Source organism: Homo sapiens, chromosome 4 (genome assembly GCF_000001405.40).
Source record: "Homo sapiens chromosome 4, GRCh38.p14 Primary Assembly".
In the NCBI taxonomy this organism is placed as follows: Eukaryota; Metazoa; Chordata; class Mammalia; order Primates; family Hominidae; genus Homo; species Homo sapiens.
In genome coordinates this window covers 40,828,022-40,842,397 of record NC_000004.12, presented here as the reverse complement: position 1 = coordinate 40,842,397, position 14,376 = coordinate 40,828,022, and the positions used below count along the sequence as shown (strand labels likewise).

Genomic DNA, 14,376 nt, shown 5'->3' with positions numbered 1-14,376 from the left:
CCTCACGCCTTCCCGGATTCAGAGAGAGGTAACCGGCCGATTTTCACTTCTCCCCCCTTCGTGGTGTCTTAACGTGTCTGGCAAAGCTCACTTGCTTTCTTCATGTCGCATTGCCATCCTCACAACCATCCTTGTCTTTGAAAGGCAGAACTTTTGTTTTGTTTTGTTTTGTTTCGCCTCTTATCACCAGCATTTAAAACAGAGTCTGGAATTGCATCTGCGTTCCTCATTCTCTACTGTGTTTGACCCTGGTTGTGGAAGGTGATGGGCTGAGTGATTAAGTCTAACACCAATGTGGTCACTCACTAACGACTGAGAAAAATCTCATCAGTGTGGCAGGGAGTGAATGTGATGGAAATAGGTTATGTGCCATGTTGTAGAAGGAGGCTTTTCATGCTTCTGGAAAAATTAATATCATGGCCGGGCGTGGTGGCTCACGCCTGTAATCCTAACACTTTGGGAGGCCGAGGTAGGTGGATCACTCGAGGTCAGGAGTTCAAGACCAGCCTGGCCAACATGGCAAAATCTCATTTCTACTAAGAATACAAAAAATTAGCTAGGCGTGGTGGTGGGCACCTGTAATCACAGCTACTTGGGAGGCCTAGGCAGGAGAACCACTTGAACCTGGGAGGCAGTGGTTGCGGTGAGCCAAGATGGCACCACTGCATTCCAGCCAGGGTGACAGAGGGATACTCTGTCTCTAAATAAATAAATAAATAAATAAATAATATTAGTGCTTATATTACATATTCTCTAGAATTTGATTGGTAAGGGTTGGCACTAGGCTACTAGCCTAGCCAGAAGCACTGATTCAGTTTCAGTGTCAATTATTAGCCAAAATATATGGTCCTCCCTCTCCACCACAAGAAGGATAGAACCACAGAAAAGACATACCTATGAAACAAGAGATTTTGACCTCAGTTGTGTTTTTCCAATGCTCTGCATGTCCGCCTGCCCGTTTGATTGATTGGGGACTTTAAGCTCCATGATTCCATAGCTCTACCACTTAATAAAAACTCCACTTTTGATGGAATAAGGGAATTTGGAGATAATTCTCCTTGAATGAATGATGGTGGTTCCTGCTGGGCAAAGCGGAGAGACACGAAGGCAGATCTCCTCTTTGTGTCGGAGTTGGTGTCATGTAACCTCCCTGCCTGGTTGGGAGCTGGAAGTGATGAGTCCTCAGCTGGTATTTCCTGCCACACTGGTGTTGTGACTGCCCTCTGCTGGTGGCTGTTTTCCCCTGTGATGTGCTGCTGTCATAGTCCAGTGGTTAAGAGGGAGAGACAGCATAGAGTGGGCGGTGACACCTGCAGGGCTGGTCTTCCAGAGAGTGTGATTAGGAGAATTTGCAGGTTTCACTGACTTTTTAAATCACTTTGAGGAGACCCTGGCGGGGGCAGGTGGTGGAAAGTTCTGGAGGATGAGGGCTGTGCATGTGGATGTGAGCTCCTTCATGTAAAATAACAGCCAGTCCCATCAGAGTCAATGGGGAGGACATTTTCAGGTGTTCGCTAGTTCCTATCCTCCTTGTTTATGTGAGTGTCCTCGCTGGGAGGCAGTTGCTCTGAATATTAACACCAGGACCCTGTTCTAGAGAGGGCTACAGATTCTAGTTTGCCCAAGCCACCTCGATAATTGCAGGTGGTAGAATTTCAGATCTGCTATTTACACACTGTGTCTCATGAGCGTGCCTGGTGAAGAATTCCCTGCTAAGCCTGTGTGTTTACCCAGGTGACGAGTACCTGGGATACTCCTTTCGGAGGCTAAAAAACTTAGCATCTTTTTAAGCTTGCAAAGAAGGAGAAAGTAAGTTAAGCTTACCAAGCGAGAGCCTGAACTTTGTGAAATTAGTGATGCCTGCATGTGATACATGTGACATTGGGTTAAAAAGAACAGAAAACCAGAGTCTTACATGTGTGTGTTTTGCGGGGGGTCATTCTGGATTGGCCATCTGGAAAGATGAAGTTTCTTACGTACTTTCGCTTCCTGATTCCTCCCACTCTCAAAACAAGATTTTTTCAAAGTGCAGTCAGAAAATAAAAGCATCCAGTCTTGAAAACAGGACTCATTCTTCCTCCAGACCTTGTACAGACTGTCAACAACCCACATTTTTGTATAGCCCAGGAACCCTATAATTACACCGTGTTCTCATGTGGGCTTACCTTTTGAATTCTATTTTGGATCTCATGCTAGGCCCTGCACAGGTGAAACAAAGAGGAGAGAAAGCCCTTTGTCCTAAAGTGCCAGAAGTGCGATGTTTGGATCCAATCCGTTTGCTGCTGTCTTATCCTTATTTGCAGATGGGACCTGCCCTTTGCAATAGCATCAATAGAAAGATAAGCTGGGAGGGAAGGGTCACTGGGTACATTTTAGCAAGTCTTAGTATAATTCATATGAGTGCAAATATTTATTAAAAAACACCCCTCGTGGGGCCAGGCGCAATGGCTCATGCCTGTAATCCCAGCACTTTGGGAGTCCGAGGTGGGCGGATCACCTGAGGTCAGGAATTCGAGACCACCCTGGCCAACATGGCGAAGCCCCGTCTCTACTAAAAATATAAAAATTAGCCAGGCATGGTGTCACACGCTTGTAATCCCAGCTACTCGGGAGGCTGAGGCAGGAGAATTTCTTGAACCTGGGAGGCAGAGGTTGCAGTGAGCCGAGATGGCACCACTGCACTCCAGCCTGGGCAACAGAGCGAGACTCCACCTCAAAAAAAAAAAAGAAAAAAGAAAAATCCCTCATGGATAAGGAGACAGTATTTCAAAGTAGGCTTTTTGTTTGACTTCTTTTTCCTCATTTATAATATGGTACCTACCATTTATTGAATGCCTATCATGTGCCAGCCTTCACAAATTCCCTCAATAAAACATGCCATGTATTTGACCTGAGCAACTGTGATTGATGTGAAAGATGTTATCAAATTGTGGATACTTGGTAAGGAATCCCAACAACAGAGAATTGGTGAGAGATTGAGTGTAATGTGACTCTTAACAGAAAAGGACAGGTGAGTTCCTGCCAGTTACATGGGCTCTGGTGCAGCTGACAAGGTCAACTTGTTCTGTGCCACTCCAGAAAGCAAAACTAGATCCTACAAGCAGAAGTTACAGGGAGGCAAGGTTGCGTTCATCATTTAGAAAAAATATATTTTGAGCCAGGTGTGGTGGCACATGCCTGTAGTCCCAGCTACTTGGGAGGCTGAGACGGGAGGATCGCTTGAGTCTAGGAGGTCGAGGCTACAATGAGCTTTGATTGCACCACTGCACTCCAGCCTGGCCGACAGAGTGAGACCCTGTCTCAAAATAATAAAGTGAAAAATAGTATATAAAAATGTTTTAAGAAGACATATATATATTATTCACTGGAGCTTTCCACCAACAGAACAGGCTGATTTATTAAAGAAACGAGATGTCCTATCATGGAAATACTCTAGGTACCACCTGCTGGTGCTGCTGTGAAAGGGACTTTGAAAAGTTAGCCTGAGTCACAGCTAAGAGGTCTGTAGATGCCTTTTGGAAGAGAGGTAAACACATAAGCAAATTCCACTTACACTACGAGAGTTGCACAGGAGAGATTTAGGGAGAGAATAAGTAGTTCTGGCTATTTTTTAAAATAGAGCCTGCTTTTGCCAGGCATGGTGGCTCACGCCTGTAATCCCAGCACTTTGGGAGGCTGAGGTGGGCGGATCACTTGAGTCCAGGAGTTCTAGACCAGCCTGCCCAATGTGGTGAAACTCCATCTCCACTAAAAATACAAAAATTGGCAAGGCGCGTGGCTCACGCCTGTAATCCCAGCACTTTGAGAGGCCGAGGCAGGCGGATCACGAGGTCAGGAGATCGAGACCATACTGGCTAACTTGGTGAAACCCCATCTCTACTAAAAATACTAAAAATTAGCCAAGTGTGGTGGCACGTGCCTGTAGTCCCAACTACTCAGGAGGCTGAGGCAGGAGAATTGCTTGAACCCGGGAGGCGGAGGTTGCAGTGAGTCGAGATCACACCACTGCACTCCAGCCAGGGCGACAGAGCGAGACTCCGTCTCAAAAAAAAAAAAAAAAAAAAAAAATTAGCCATGTGTGGTGGTGCACACCTGTAATCCCAGCTACTCAAGAAGCCAAGGCATGAGAATCACTTGAACCCAGGAGGTGGAGGTTGCAGTGAGCCGAGATCATGCCACTGCACTCCAGCCTGGGTGACAGAGCGAGAATCTGTCTCAAAATAATAATAATAATAATAATAATAATAATAATAATAATAATGCCCACTTGAATAAAGAATCATTTATTCATTCCATAAAGATGGATTAAGCCCCTATTGAGTGATTAGAATGCTATATAACTGAGAATATATAAAAGCAATCTTTGGTCCTTTATATTTTTTTAATTAAGAAATTTGAGGCTGTCAGATAAGATGTATTAACACTGTCATTTTTCTCCAGCAAAACTCTATCTTGGTCCTCTGGGAGAGTAATTACTGAGGAAGACAGCCAAAAAGACAGGAATGAAAAGAGTTGGAAACACCAGGGCTCAGTAAGCAGGTGGCAACAGGTACTTGATTCCTGGTACTAGCTTCTGTCACCATTTAAAGAAGAGACACAAGAAACTATAGCTATAACCCTTCCACTTCCTGGCTTATAAAAGAAAACGCAATGATTCTCATGACTGCAGGCGTTAAATGGAGTGAGACTCCATGTATGGGCAGCAGATGGCTCCTGGCCTAGCCTTGTAAATGGCTAGGGTATGGCATGAGCTGGAGCAGAGAGCAGAAACGGGTCTTGCTGCCAAGTGTCAGACAGATCGTGTCTGATGATCACAGGTGGTAGAATTTCAGATAACCACAGGTTCCTGGGAATCTAGAAGCTGTTGGAAAAACTGGGAGTGATGTTCTTTCTGGCCCTTGGAGATCTTTTGGGCCAGCTGTGTGGTTTTACAGACGAGATGCTGAAGCCTGGACCCTGCGTGGCTGTGTGAGGCGCCCGGTTAATGAGTATGGCTCCCAGCCTGTCTGAGATGGGACCCTCCTGGTGCTCTGGAAGCCGGAAGTGCTAACGGAAGGATAGCCCTCAAGGGCTCCCAACCTGAAGGCTCCTCAAAGGTGCCTGCAGTGGACCAGCCAGCCCCCGTGTCCCATGCAGCAACAGAGCTGGCTACGGGCCCTGCCTGCTTGGCTGCCTGACGCCTGATGGCCATGTGGCACCCGACACACTCTTTCCTCCCCAGCCCACATGCTCGGCCTGAGCTGATCGCACCAGTTTAGGTTTGCACAGTCTGTCAGGAACACTCTGAGTGTGGAGGTGTGTTTACTACAAAGCAATTTCTTCTCCCCCTCAGAATACAAGAAAATCAAGGACCTACCCTGTTGCTCTTACGTATGACCACAGTGGCCTTTAGCATCATGACACTGGGATTGGGGAAAAACCCAGCTGTGTAAAAAACTAATGGGTGACATTTTGATCACTGTGGAAGCCAGCTGATGGGATATAGAGTTTGTTTACTATCTTCTCAATTTTTATGTGTGTTTGGAAAGTTCCAGAAGGAGAAGAGTAAAAAACAGAAAGGAGAGAGATGGATGAACTCTGTTCTTTTAACTCCTGTACTCCTCAGGCTGGGCCCCAAACTCCTTCTCCCAGGTAAGGGTCCAGGAGGCCAAGGTCACTGCAGACCTCCCTGTGGCTGAGACCACCTGGCCTGTCTCCCACTGTTCTGGAAAGCTCTCTACCCCTTTCCCTCAACCCCCTTTCTTTGATATCTTTGGGACCAGCCTCTCCTGGGCTTCTCCTGCCCTCTTCCCCAGCAATTTTTTTCCCACCTTCTCATTGGACCTCCTGCCTCAAACAAGGCCTCTAAATGTCTTTCTTCCCCAGTCGCCAGGCCTTGGTTTGACATGTTTTTTGTTTGTTTGTTTGTTTGTTTGTTTTTGAGATGGAGTCTTGCTGTGTTTGCCTAGGCAGGAGTGCAGTGGTGGAATCTCAGCCTACTGCAACCTCCATCTCCTGAGTTCAAGTGATTCTCACACCTCAGCCTCCCAAGTAGCTGGGATTACAGGTGCACACTACCGCACCCGCCTAATTTTTGTATTTTTAGTAGAGATGGTGTTTTGCCATGTTGGCTAGGCTGGTCTTGAACTCCTGACCTGAAGAGATCCACCCGCCTTGGCCTCCCAAAATGCTGGGATTACAGGCATGAGCCACCGCGCCCGGCCAGCTTTGTCTTTTCATGCTCCACACTCTCACCTGCTCCCCCGACTTCACCCACCTCCCAGATCCATGTCTCCTGCCCAGACCGCAGGCCTCAGTGCAGGGTCCCAGCACCCACCTGCTTGGTGGGCCTCGTCACCTGGTGCTCCTCAAGCACAAGCACCCCACACGTCTTGTCCACCCTGGAGCTCATCAACTTCTTGCACCAAACCAGCCCTCCTTCCCTCCCCCACTCCAGTGATGGGGTGCTTAGCTGTCCTAGCAGGGACCCCAGAGTTATTCTTAATCGCCTCCCTCATCCACGTCTCTCACACATCTGCCACTCCTGCCAGCTATCCTTCCAACACCTCTTCCATCTGTCTCCTCTGCCCTGTTCTCGCAGATGCTGATTTAGCCTGCACTTTGCTCATCCCCCTGCGCTGGACCACCGCAGTGGCCCCCAGCAGTCCCCTTCCCTTGGCCGGCTTTCTCCCACCAAACAAATCACATGGGGTCACCTGTAATATTGCAAGACTGGGATGGCTCGGAGTAAGGGCCAGTCCTGGCAAGACACAAGGCACTGTGCAAACTGAGTACAGACTCCCGCACAGCACCCCTGCAGCGGCACCTGAGCCTCACCACAGTGCCTGGGGCATATGCATAGGGCAGCTGGGAGTTCTCGCAAACAACTGGGGGGCCTTCTGACCTCCCTGCCTTTGCTCATACCTGTTTCAATGTTCTTTGAGCTGTCTGCTGCCTTCTTACTGTGATGAGGTCCTTCTTACACTTAAAGAAGCAGCTCAAACCTCATTGCCCGTCTGTAACATTAGACGGGCTTGCAAGGCTGGAACCTTATCTGTTTGAATTTGCCTCACTGGTTCCTGATACATAATATCAGCTAGAAGGTGCTTGTAGAAGTGAATTGAATTTTTTTTTTTTTTTTTTTAGACGGAATCTTGCTCTCTCACCCAGGCTGGAGTGCAGTGGCGCGATCTCGGCTCACTGCAACCTCCACCTCCCGGGTTCAAGCGATTCTCCTGCCTCAGCCTCCTGAGTAGCTGGGACTACAGGCGCCCGCCACCACGCCCGGCTAAGTTTTTGTATTTTTAGTAGAGACGGGGTTTCACGTGTTAGCCAGGATGGTCTCGATCTCCTGACCTCATGATCTGCCACCTTGGCCTCCCAAAGTGCTGGGATTACAGGCATGAGCCACCGCGCCCGGACTTTAATGAATTGAATATTTTAAAAAATATCAGTCTTTAATACCACACCATAAAATCCAAACGGCAGTTGCATTCATTTCCTATTGTTGCTGTAACAAATGGCCACAAACCGAGTGGCCTAACGCCACGCCACTTGATTCTTTTCTGTTTCTGGTGGTCAGAAATGTCAAATCCCAGTGTTGGCTGGGCTGTGTTTCTTCCAGGGGCTCTCGGGGAGAATCCGTTTTCTTGCCTTTTCCAGCTTCTTGAGGCTGCCTGCATTCCTTGGCCCCTGCCTCCTGTTCTTTCCCTTAGGAAGAAAGTGCCTCCCGCCTTCCCTTGTGAATTTGCGGGGCCCACCTAGATAGTCCAGAGTAACATCCCCATCTCAGGATCCTTTGTTGATCACATCCGCCAAGCCCCTGTTGGCATGTAAGGGAACATAGCCACAGGTTCCTGGGATGTGGGGAGGGATCATGACTCTCCCGCAGCAGCCCTTTTCAGAAGTCAGGTGCCAAAAAGGCAGGCTTTTCACACAGGCAAGTGATGCTTGGATTTCGTCTTAAATCAATGAAATTCGATCGCTTGTATGTTTCATTGTCCATAGATGAAGTCGCTCCACTGGTCTGTGCTCTAGGCCTGAAAGAAAGGCCTCACTGCCTCTTACAGATCTCCATATTTAGGGACTTGGGATATGTTACATGAGAGTGAAATGGGAAATGCACAAATCTCTTGACCTCTACAGTGAGGAGAAGACACCTGTTTTATCCTGGGAAGTGATGAAACCTCTGGAGGGTTAGTTACCGGACTCACCCACCGTCATGGACTGACAGATTGCTGCCTCCCTAATCTATTAGCCTCTACCTTGGAGGAAACAACAAAAGATAAGGCTGTAAAAAAAAAAAAGTGAGAATTCCTCCCAAAAAAGCCTGAGGCTGCTGAGTTTCTCCCTGGGGAAGCTGTGGGTTCCAGATGGTTGCCCTTAAGGCATCAGTCACCTTGCTCTGCGCCAGAGGAAAATGAAGATTAATAATCATAATTTTTTAAAGTTAAGCCTAAAAGGCTGCCTATGAAAGAACTGAGGCACAGAGGGCACAAAGCCGAAGTTCGATAGGAATAATCCATTGCTTATTGACCAGGACCTGTTCATCCGCCGTGTCGGTAACCTTGGGATGTTGCACGCTGGGGCCTGCCAGCCACCATGGAGAGGCTGATGGATCTTGGAGGCTTCTATCAGAGAATGTCAGAGCCGGGGAGGGACTTGGAAATCATGTTTTTCAACCCCTTCACTTAAAGATGAGGTGAAATTCCATGCCCAGGGTTGTATAGCTAAGTGGAAGCAGGGCTGAGACTCGAATGTGGGTGGCCAGAATCTCAATGCCTGGCCCTTCTGGCTGCTGCTGTCTCTTAGAGGACAGACACAGGTGACACCTGTAACAGTAACTACAAAAAGGTATGATATAACGACCTCTTCTTTGTAGCACAGAATGTAAATACCGTGGGCATTTTGATACAAGCAGGGTCCTGGGGCCAGAGGACCAGGCGGACCGTTGAGCTGGGCTAGGCTGAGTAGATGGGCGTGCGCTGGACAGTGTGGGGAGGGCCACTGGCCACCACGTGAGGGAAGACACCACTACGAGCGGACACCAAGACCCACCTCTTCTGGAGCAGCGGGGAGTGCCGTGCAGTGGGAGGAACATGCTGGAAAGTTGGTGGGACAAATTTTGGAACTCTTAAAATCCACCCAGAGGTTTTTGGACTTTGTGTGGTTGACCACAGGGAGCTTTGGGGAGATTTGGCCTCAGGAAGATGGTGGCTGCACATGGAAGTTGGAAGGATTGGAGTTGTGTGCCGGGAGACGTGGTGTATTTCTGAAGGACCCTCTAGGGAGGAGAACCAGAAGCAAGGCATCCCTTGAGTGTGATCTCCAAAAGGGATGTCTTCTGTCCATTTCTTATGTGTTGCCTTGATGGTGGTTGAGGCTGGATGGGAAGGCCACAGTGTGGAGAAGACTGTGCTCACCCCTCAAAGTCTCGGCCCAGTGACTTGCCCCAACCCACCCCCGAGCCCAGTCGTGGAACCCATTCAGTACTGAGCAAGGACCGACTTTCCCAACAGGAAGGAGGGATGTGTGCCACAGGCCCACACTTGTACTCAGCCCGCAAACATGTATTAGTACCGGTGATACGCCAGGCCTGAACTAGACGCTGGGATGAGTTAGGCACAGTCGTCTTCATGGAGCTGCAGAGTGTTGAGGGGAAGACACACTCAGACACTTGCTGTGCCCCCGTGTATGTACTGTGTGTGCGAGGAACCTTCCAGGCTCTCACCCATCTTCAGCTGAGTCCTGGCAAGGGGATGGAGATGGCCTGAGCACAGGCAGGGAGGCGAAGAGCAGCTTAGAATGGCTGCGTGGTGAGGGGGCTGGAAATGGAGGGATGGATGCCAGAAATTTCCAGGAGGTGAAACAGGACGAATGTGGGGATTGGGTGTGGCACGTGAGGCAGGGGGAGTCCGGTTCTAGCATGGAGGACACTGAGCTAGAACGTGAGGAAGCAGGAGTAGGTTGGGAGGAGAAATGTTGGGGTCATGTGTGGATTGCCGGTGATTAAAGCGTCATGGGGCAGCCAGGTGAGGTGCTGCTGAGCTGGAGCCTGGGCTTAGGGAGCCCCACTGCAGGGCTGCCTGGGGCATGGCGAGGTGAGGTTGCGAGGCAGGGTTTTCCGGCCAGACCTTCACGATGGCCAGTTGCCTGCTATAGTAAATCCCTGTCCCTTCCCAAGGCCGCCAAGGCTTTCTTGGGGAAAGTATCCATCATAGTCTATGAAAAGGCTGCCAGGTCTTACCTTAAGAGAAATAATTTAAAAATTCCTCTGTAGTTATATCTCCAGACAGTATCCTGGCTTAGCATCAGATGCAAATAAATCACTGTGATCCATTCCTAGATGGGTAAAGCTTGGTGTATATGTGTGTGTGTGTGTGTGTGTGTGTGTGTGTGTGTGTGTATATAAATAAATATATAAATATGTGTGTGTGTAAAAACACTTTCATCTTTGAACTGCTGTCTTCCAATGTTAACATTGAGAAATACAGTCGTATCGCATGGTTCTTTTGAAGCCAAGTAATGTCACAGTCAGTATCCTTTTTATCAGTAGAAAAAATGCGAACACCCAACATCGGCTGCATGCTCACCAAGGTGTCTCAGCAAGCAATAAATGATGTGCCGCCGCTGCCGTCGCTCTGAGATCTGGAGTCTGAGACGTGTTTAAAACAGTCAAAGGCCTTTGATAGGACTGCAGTCCATGGTGTCTCTTTGTGTTCTGACATTCCCTGTGATTGCCCTTCAACTTTCTCAGTCAGCTGTGGGCTGGTCCATTGTTTGTGCACATGTTTATACATCAGAGCCTATTGTTTGCTTCCGCTGCGCCACTGTCTGTGTCATTATATCATCTTGCGATTCATGCGCTCCTCAAGCCTTTCTGTTTTCTAATCATAACACTGGTTATTACACTAGATAGAAGGGTTCTGTGAAATTCAGTTTTCACTAAGGGTTGTTAGAGATTCCAAGAGTTCAACAGACTGGCTTTTGAAGTTATGTTTTTTTTTTGTTTTTTTTCAGAGGGAGTTTCACCCTTGTCCCCCAGGCTGGAGTGCAGTGGCACAGTCTCGGCTCACTGTAACCTCTGCCTCCTGGGCTGTTCAGGCGATTCTCCTGCCTCAGCCTCCAGAGTTGCTGGGATTACAGACGCCGGCCACCACGCCCAGCTAATTTTTTGTATTTTTAGTAGAGACAGAGTTTCACTGTGTTGGCCAGGCTGGTCTCCAACTCCTGACCTCAGGTGATCCGCCCACCTCGGCCTCCCAGTGCTGGGATTACAGGCATGAGCCACCACGCCCATCCTTTTTTAAAAAAATTTTTAGAGGCTAAGTCTTGTTCTGTTGACCAGTCTGGAGTGCAGTGGTACGATTATAGCTCACTGCAACCTCAAACTCCTGGGCTCAAGCAGTTCTCCCACCTCACCCTCCAGAATAGCTGGAACTGCAGATACATGCCACTGCACCTGGCATTTTTTGTTTGTTTTTTGTTTTTTTTTGGTTTTGGTTTTTTTTGATAGTGGTTTCACTGTGTTGCCTGGTTCGAGAGCTGGTCTCAAACTTCTGGCCTCAAACAATCATCTTACCTTGGTCTCTCAAAACGTTGGGATTACAGACATGAGCCACTGCGCCTAGCCCACATCGTAGGTATTTTACTCAGAAATGAATTTCTAATTGTCATAAAACTATATGTTAGGAAGCTATTGTAATTTAATTTTTCTTTTAATCATTGCATACATTGTTTACCATTGACACGCTGGCTGCTAGCTCAGTTAACTTCATAACTAAAGTATGTGTTGGTAATCAGCTTCTCTTACTAATGGACTGATACATTTTGCTTGCACAGGGATTTTGCTTATGTAGCAAGAGATAAAGATACAAGAATTTTGAAATGTCATGTATTTCGATGTGACACACCAGCAAAAGCCATTGCCACAAGTCTCCACGAGATCTGCTCCAAGGTAAGGTGGGTCAGGGCAGTATGGGCCGCCTCTCTCTTTTTTTCTTGCTGCATAAAAGGATGTGGAAGGGCGGGGGAGTGGGCACATCAACCTGCAGTTGAGCTCAGGGAGAAGTAGGCAGATTGTTCAGCCAGAGTCATTAAAGTATTCTTGCTGCGGGCCAGGCATCGCTCTTGAGTAGCACTCCATCTACACAAAATGAATAGAACCATAGTCCCTCCCGCCGCCTGGAAACATATATATATATATATGTGTGTGTGTGTTCAGCCAAGTCATTAAAGTATTTTTGCTGCAGGGCAGGCATCGCTCTAAGTAGCACTCCATCTACACAAAATGAATAGAACCATAGTCCCTCCCGCAGCCTAGAAATGTATATATCTCAGGTAGGCAAAACAATGGCAGAGATACGTACACCCCAGAAAACTGGGAAAAGGAGTCAAAGCGGATTTTCCAGGGGCAGGGCCATCTGACCTGAGAGTGAATGTGGGTAGAGAAAAAGGCTACAGGAAAGGAGGTGGCAAGAAACCATCCAGGGTTTCTGCAAATGCAGGGAGCTGGGGATTGCCGTTAACACACACCAACTTCCTGAGGACACACAGTGGCTCGTAGAAGCACCCTGTCCAGCTGGGAGGCAAGACTGTGGTCTCATGCTAGTGAGACTTCCTTAACCAGAGTCACAGCCTCAAAATGAGAACAAACAGTCTGGCGTCACCAGCCTAGCCTCCGCCTCCCACCAGCATAACAGCCCCCTTGCAGACATCCCCCCACCCTCTGCCCTACACACCCATGGACTCCCACAGATGGAGTCTCTTGCTTTTCAGGAGGAGGTTCTATTACCAAGCAGCTCTGGCTGTTACAGATTTCTTCTTTATGTTGACCCGAAATCTTCCTCTTGGAACTTCCAGGTACTGACTGGAGATCTGCCATCTGTAGCAGCAGAGAAAGGTCCCCCAATTCTCTTTGGTGGCCAGCTCCTCAGACACTTGAAGCCTTGCTGTGTTTCACCATGTGTTATGTGTTTTAGAGGCGCTGGACAAGCATCTATCATTGAGTCTTCTTGCCCCTGACTTCCTCCCTCTCCAGATCCACCACCCCCGTCTCTGCAGCCACTTTTGGGTCACATGGCTATTCCAGTCCCTAACCATTGTCTTCTGGGCACTCTCTGGTTGGATCCCCCAGATGAACACAGTATTCCAAAAGTGAGCAGAGAGCAGACCAGGGCCAGGGGCTGCTCTGTCCTTTGACCGCCAAGGACACACTATTGTGGTGCTCGATGTTCTTGGCAACCACATCACCCCCTGATTTCTCTTCACATGGTGGCAGCTGAACCCCCAACACACTGGCACAAGCTTCTTTTAGCCAGCCCTTTCCATGCCCCAGACTTGGTTAATTTCTTGAATTTAGATGCAGAATTTTGCCATCCCCTCTGTTGAATGTCACCTTTCTGATTCAGGCTGACATCATAACCCAGCCTCACTCCCACAATTCTTCCTGAGCCGTCAAGACCCAACCCAGGCCAGGAGTTGGCCCAGCCTGTTAACCGAGCAGGAGGTCCAAGCCATGGTGCCTGAGGGAGGGACAGGGGCAGGGAGCTGTCCCCAGCCTCAGAATGAAAGAGTGCCCCCGTCTGCTGCTCTGAATCCCACGATGGGGACGTGCAGGATGGGCACTGGTCTTGAGATCACCACGTTTATTCCCGCCCATGTTCACATTCTTGCATTGATGAGACGGGGGTGTTGCTGCCATTTGCAGCATTGCGGCCTGCTCCCTGGATTTCATTTCTCATTCATTCATGCAACACATAGAATGGAATGCCATTTATGTGCCAGGCACTATCAAAGGCACTGGGGAGAGGGCAATGACCAAAACAGAAAAAAAAAAGTCCTTGCCCTTATGGAGCTTATATTCTGGCATAAAGCCCTCAGAACATGGCCTGGCACAGAATAAGTATGCAGGAAACGCTTGATTTTATTCTTGTCGGCAGCCCTCTTGCTCGCTGCCCTGGGCACAGATCTGGAGATAGGCAGAGTAGAGGTCTGCGATGGAAATGACTTTCACTCCACTTGGAATGGAAAACTTAGTCTGGGAATGAAGATCCGAGTTACTTTTGGGGTCACTAAAGGGTGGGCTTCTTTCAGTCCCTAAACCCACAGCACTGTATGTAACTGGTGGAGAACAGGAGTATAAAGTGCTTTACTCTTAAGTAAAGCAGACATCAGTGTCCCTTACAGAAGAGAAGCAATTTAGAGCAGTTTGAGGATAACAGCAAAAATGGCAGGTGTATTAGTCGGCTTTCACGCTGCTAATAAAGACATACCCAAGACTGGGTAATTTATAAAGAAAAAGAAGTTTAATGAACTCACAGTTCCATGTGGCTGGTGAGGCCTCACAATCATGGTGGAAGGTGAAAGGCACGTCTTACATGGCAGCAGGCAAGAGAG

At 48.4% G+C, this 14,376-nt stretch overlaps 1 protein-coding gene across 55 annotated transcripts in view, besides 4 other annotated features; it reads left to right on the top strand.

Moving 5' to 3' along the window:
• APBB2 (amyloid beta precursor protein binding family B member 2) overlaps positions 1–14,376 on the top strand; it is a 404,516-nt gene that overhangs the window by 372,145 nt on the left and 17,995 nt on the right. For 28 of the 55 annotated variants that reach the window (XM_047450191.1, XM_047450181.1, XM_047450187.1 and 25 more), the window contains one exon: positions 11,821–11,935. In XM_047450191.1, coding sequence (XP_047306147.1) covers positions 11,821–11,935 — 115 coding nt within the window. Of the gene's footprint in view, positions 1–22; positions 29–11,820; positions 11,936–14,376 lie in introns of all 55 variants that reach the window. The other 27 variants (XM_047450169.1, XM_047450164.1, XM_047450184.1 and 24 more) reach the window with 1 other exon arrangement.
• Positions 947–1,448: an enhancer, noted in NCBI's record as "NANOG hESC enhancer chr4:40842967-40843468 (GRCh37/hg19 assembly coordinates)". NCBI's record gives its function as "activates a minimal SCP1, AML or CMV promoter by ChIP-STARR-seq in primed H9 embryonic stem cells {active_cell/tissue: H9 hESC(primed)}" and the evidence as "EXISTENCE:reporter gene assay evidence [ECO:0000049][PMID:30033119]".
• Positions 1,600–1,699: an enhancer, noted in NCBI's record as "active region_21503". NCBI's record gives its function as "activates an Ori minimal core promoter by ATAC-STARR-seq in GM12878 lymphoblastoid cells {active_cell/tissue: GM12878}" and the evidence as "EXISTENCE:reporter gene assay evidence [ECO:0000049][PMID:35858748]".
• Positions 1,720–1,809: an enhancer, noted in NCBI's record as "active region_21502". NCBI's record gives its function as "activates an Ori minimal core promoter by ATAC-STARR-seq in GM12878 lymphoblastoid cells {active_cell/tissue: GM12878}" and the evidence as "EXISTENCE:reporter gene assay evidence [ECO:0000049][PMID:35858748]".
• Positions 6,057–6,626: an enhancer, noted in NCBI's record as "H3K27ac-H3K4me1 hESC enhancer chr4:40837789-40838358 (GRCh37/hg19 assembly coordinates)". NCBI's record gives its function as "activates a minimal SCP1, AML or CMV promoter by ChIP-STARR-seq in naive H9 embryonic stem cells {active_cell/tissue: H9 hESC(naive)}" and the evidence as "EXISTENCE:reporter gene assay evidence [ECO:0000049][PMID:30033119]".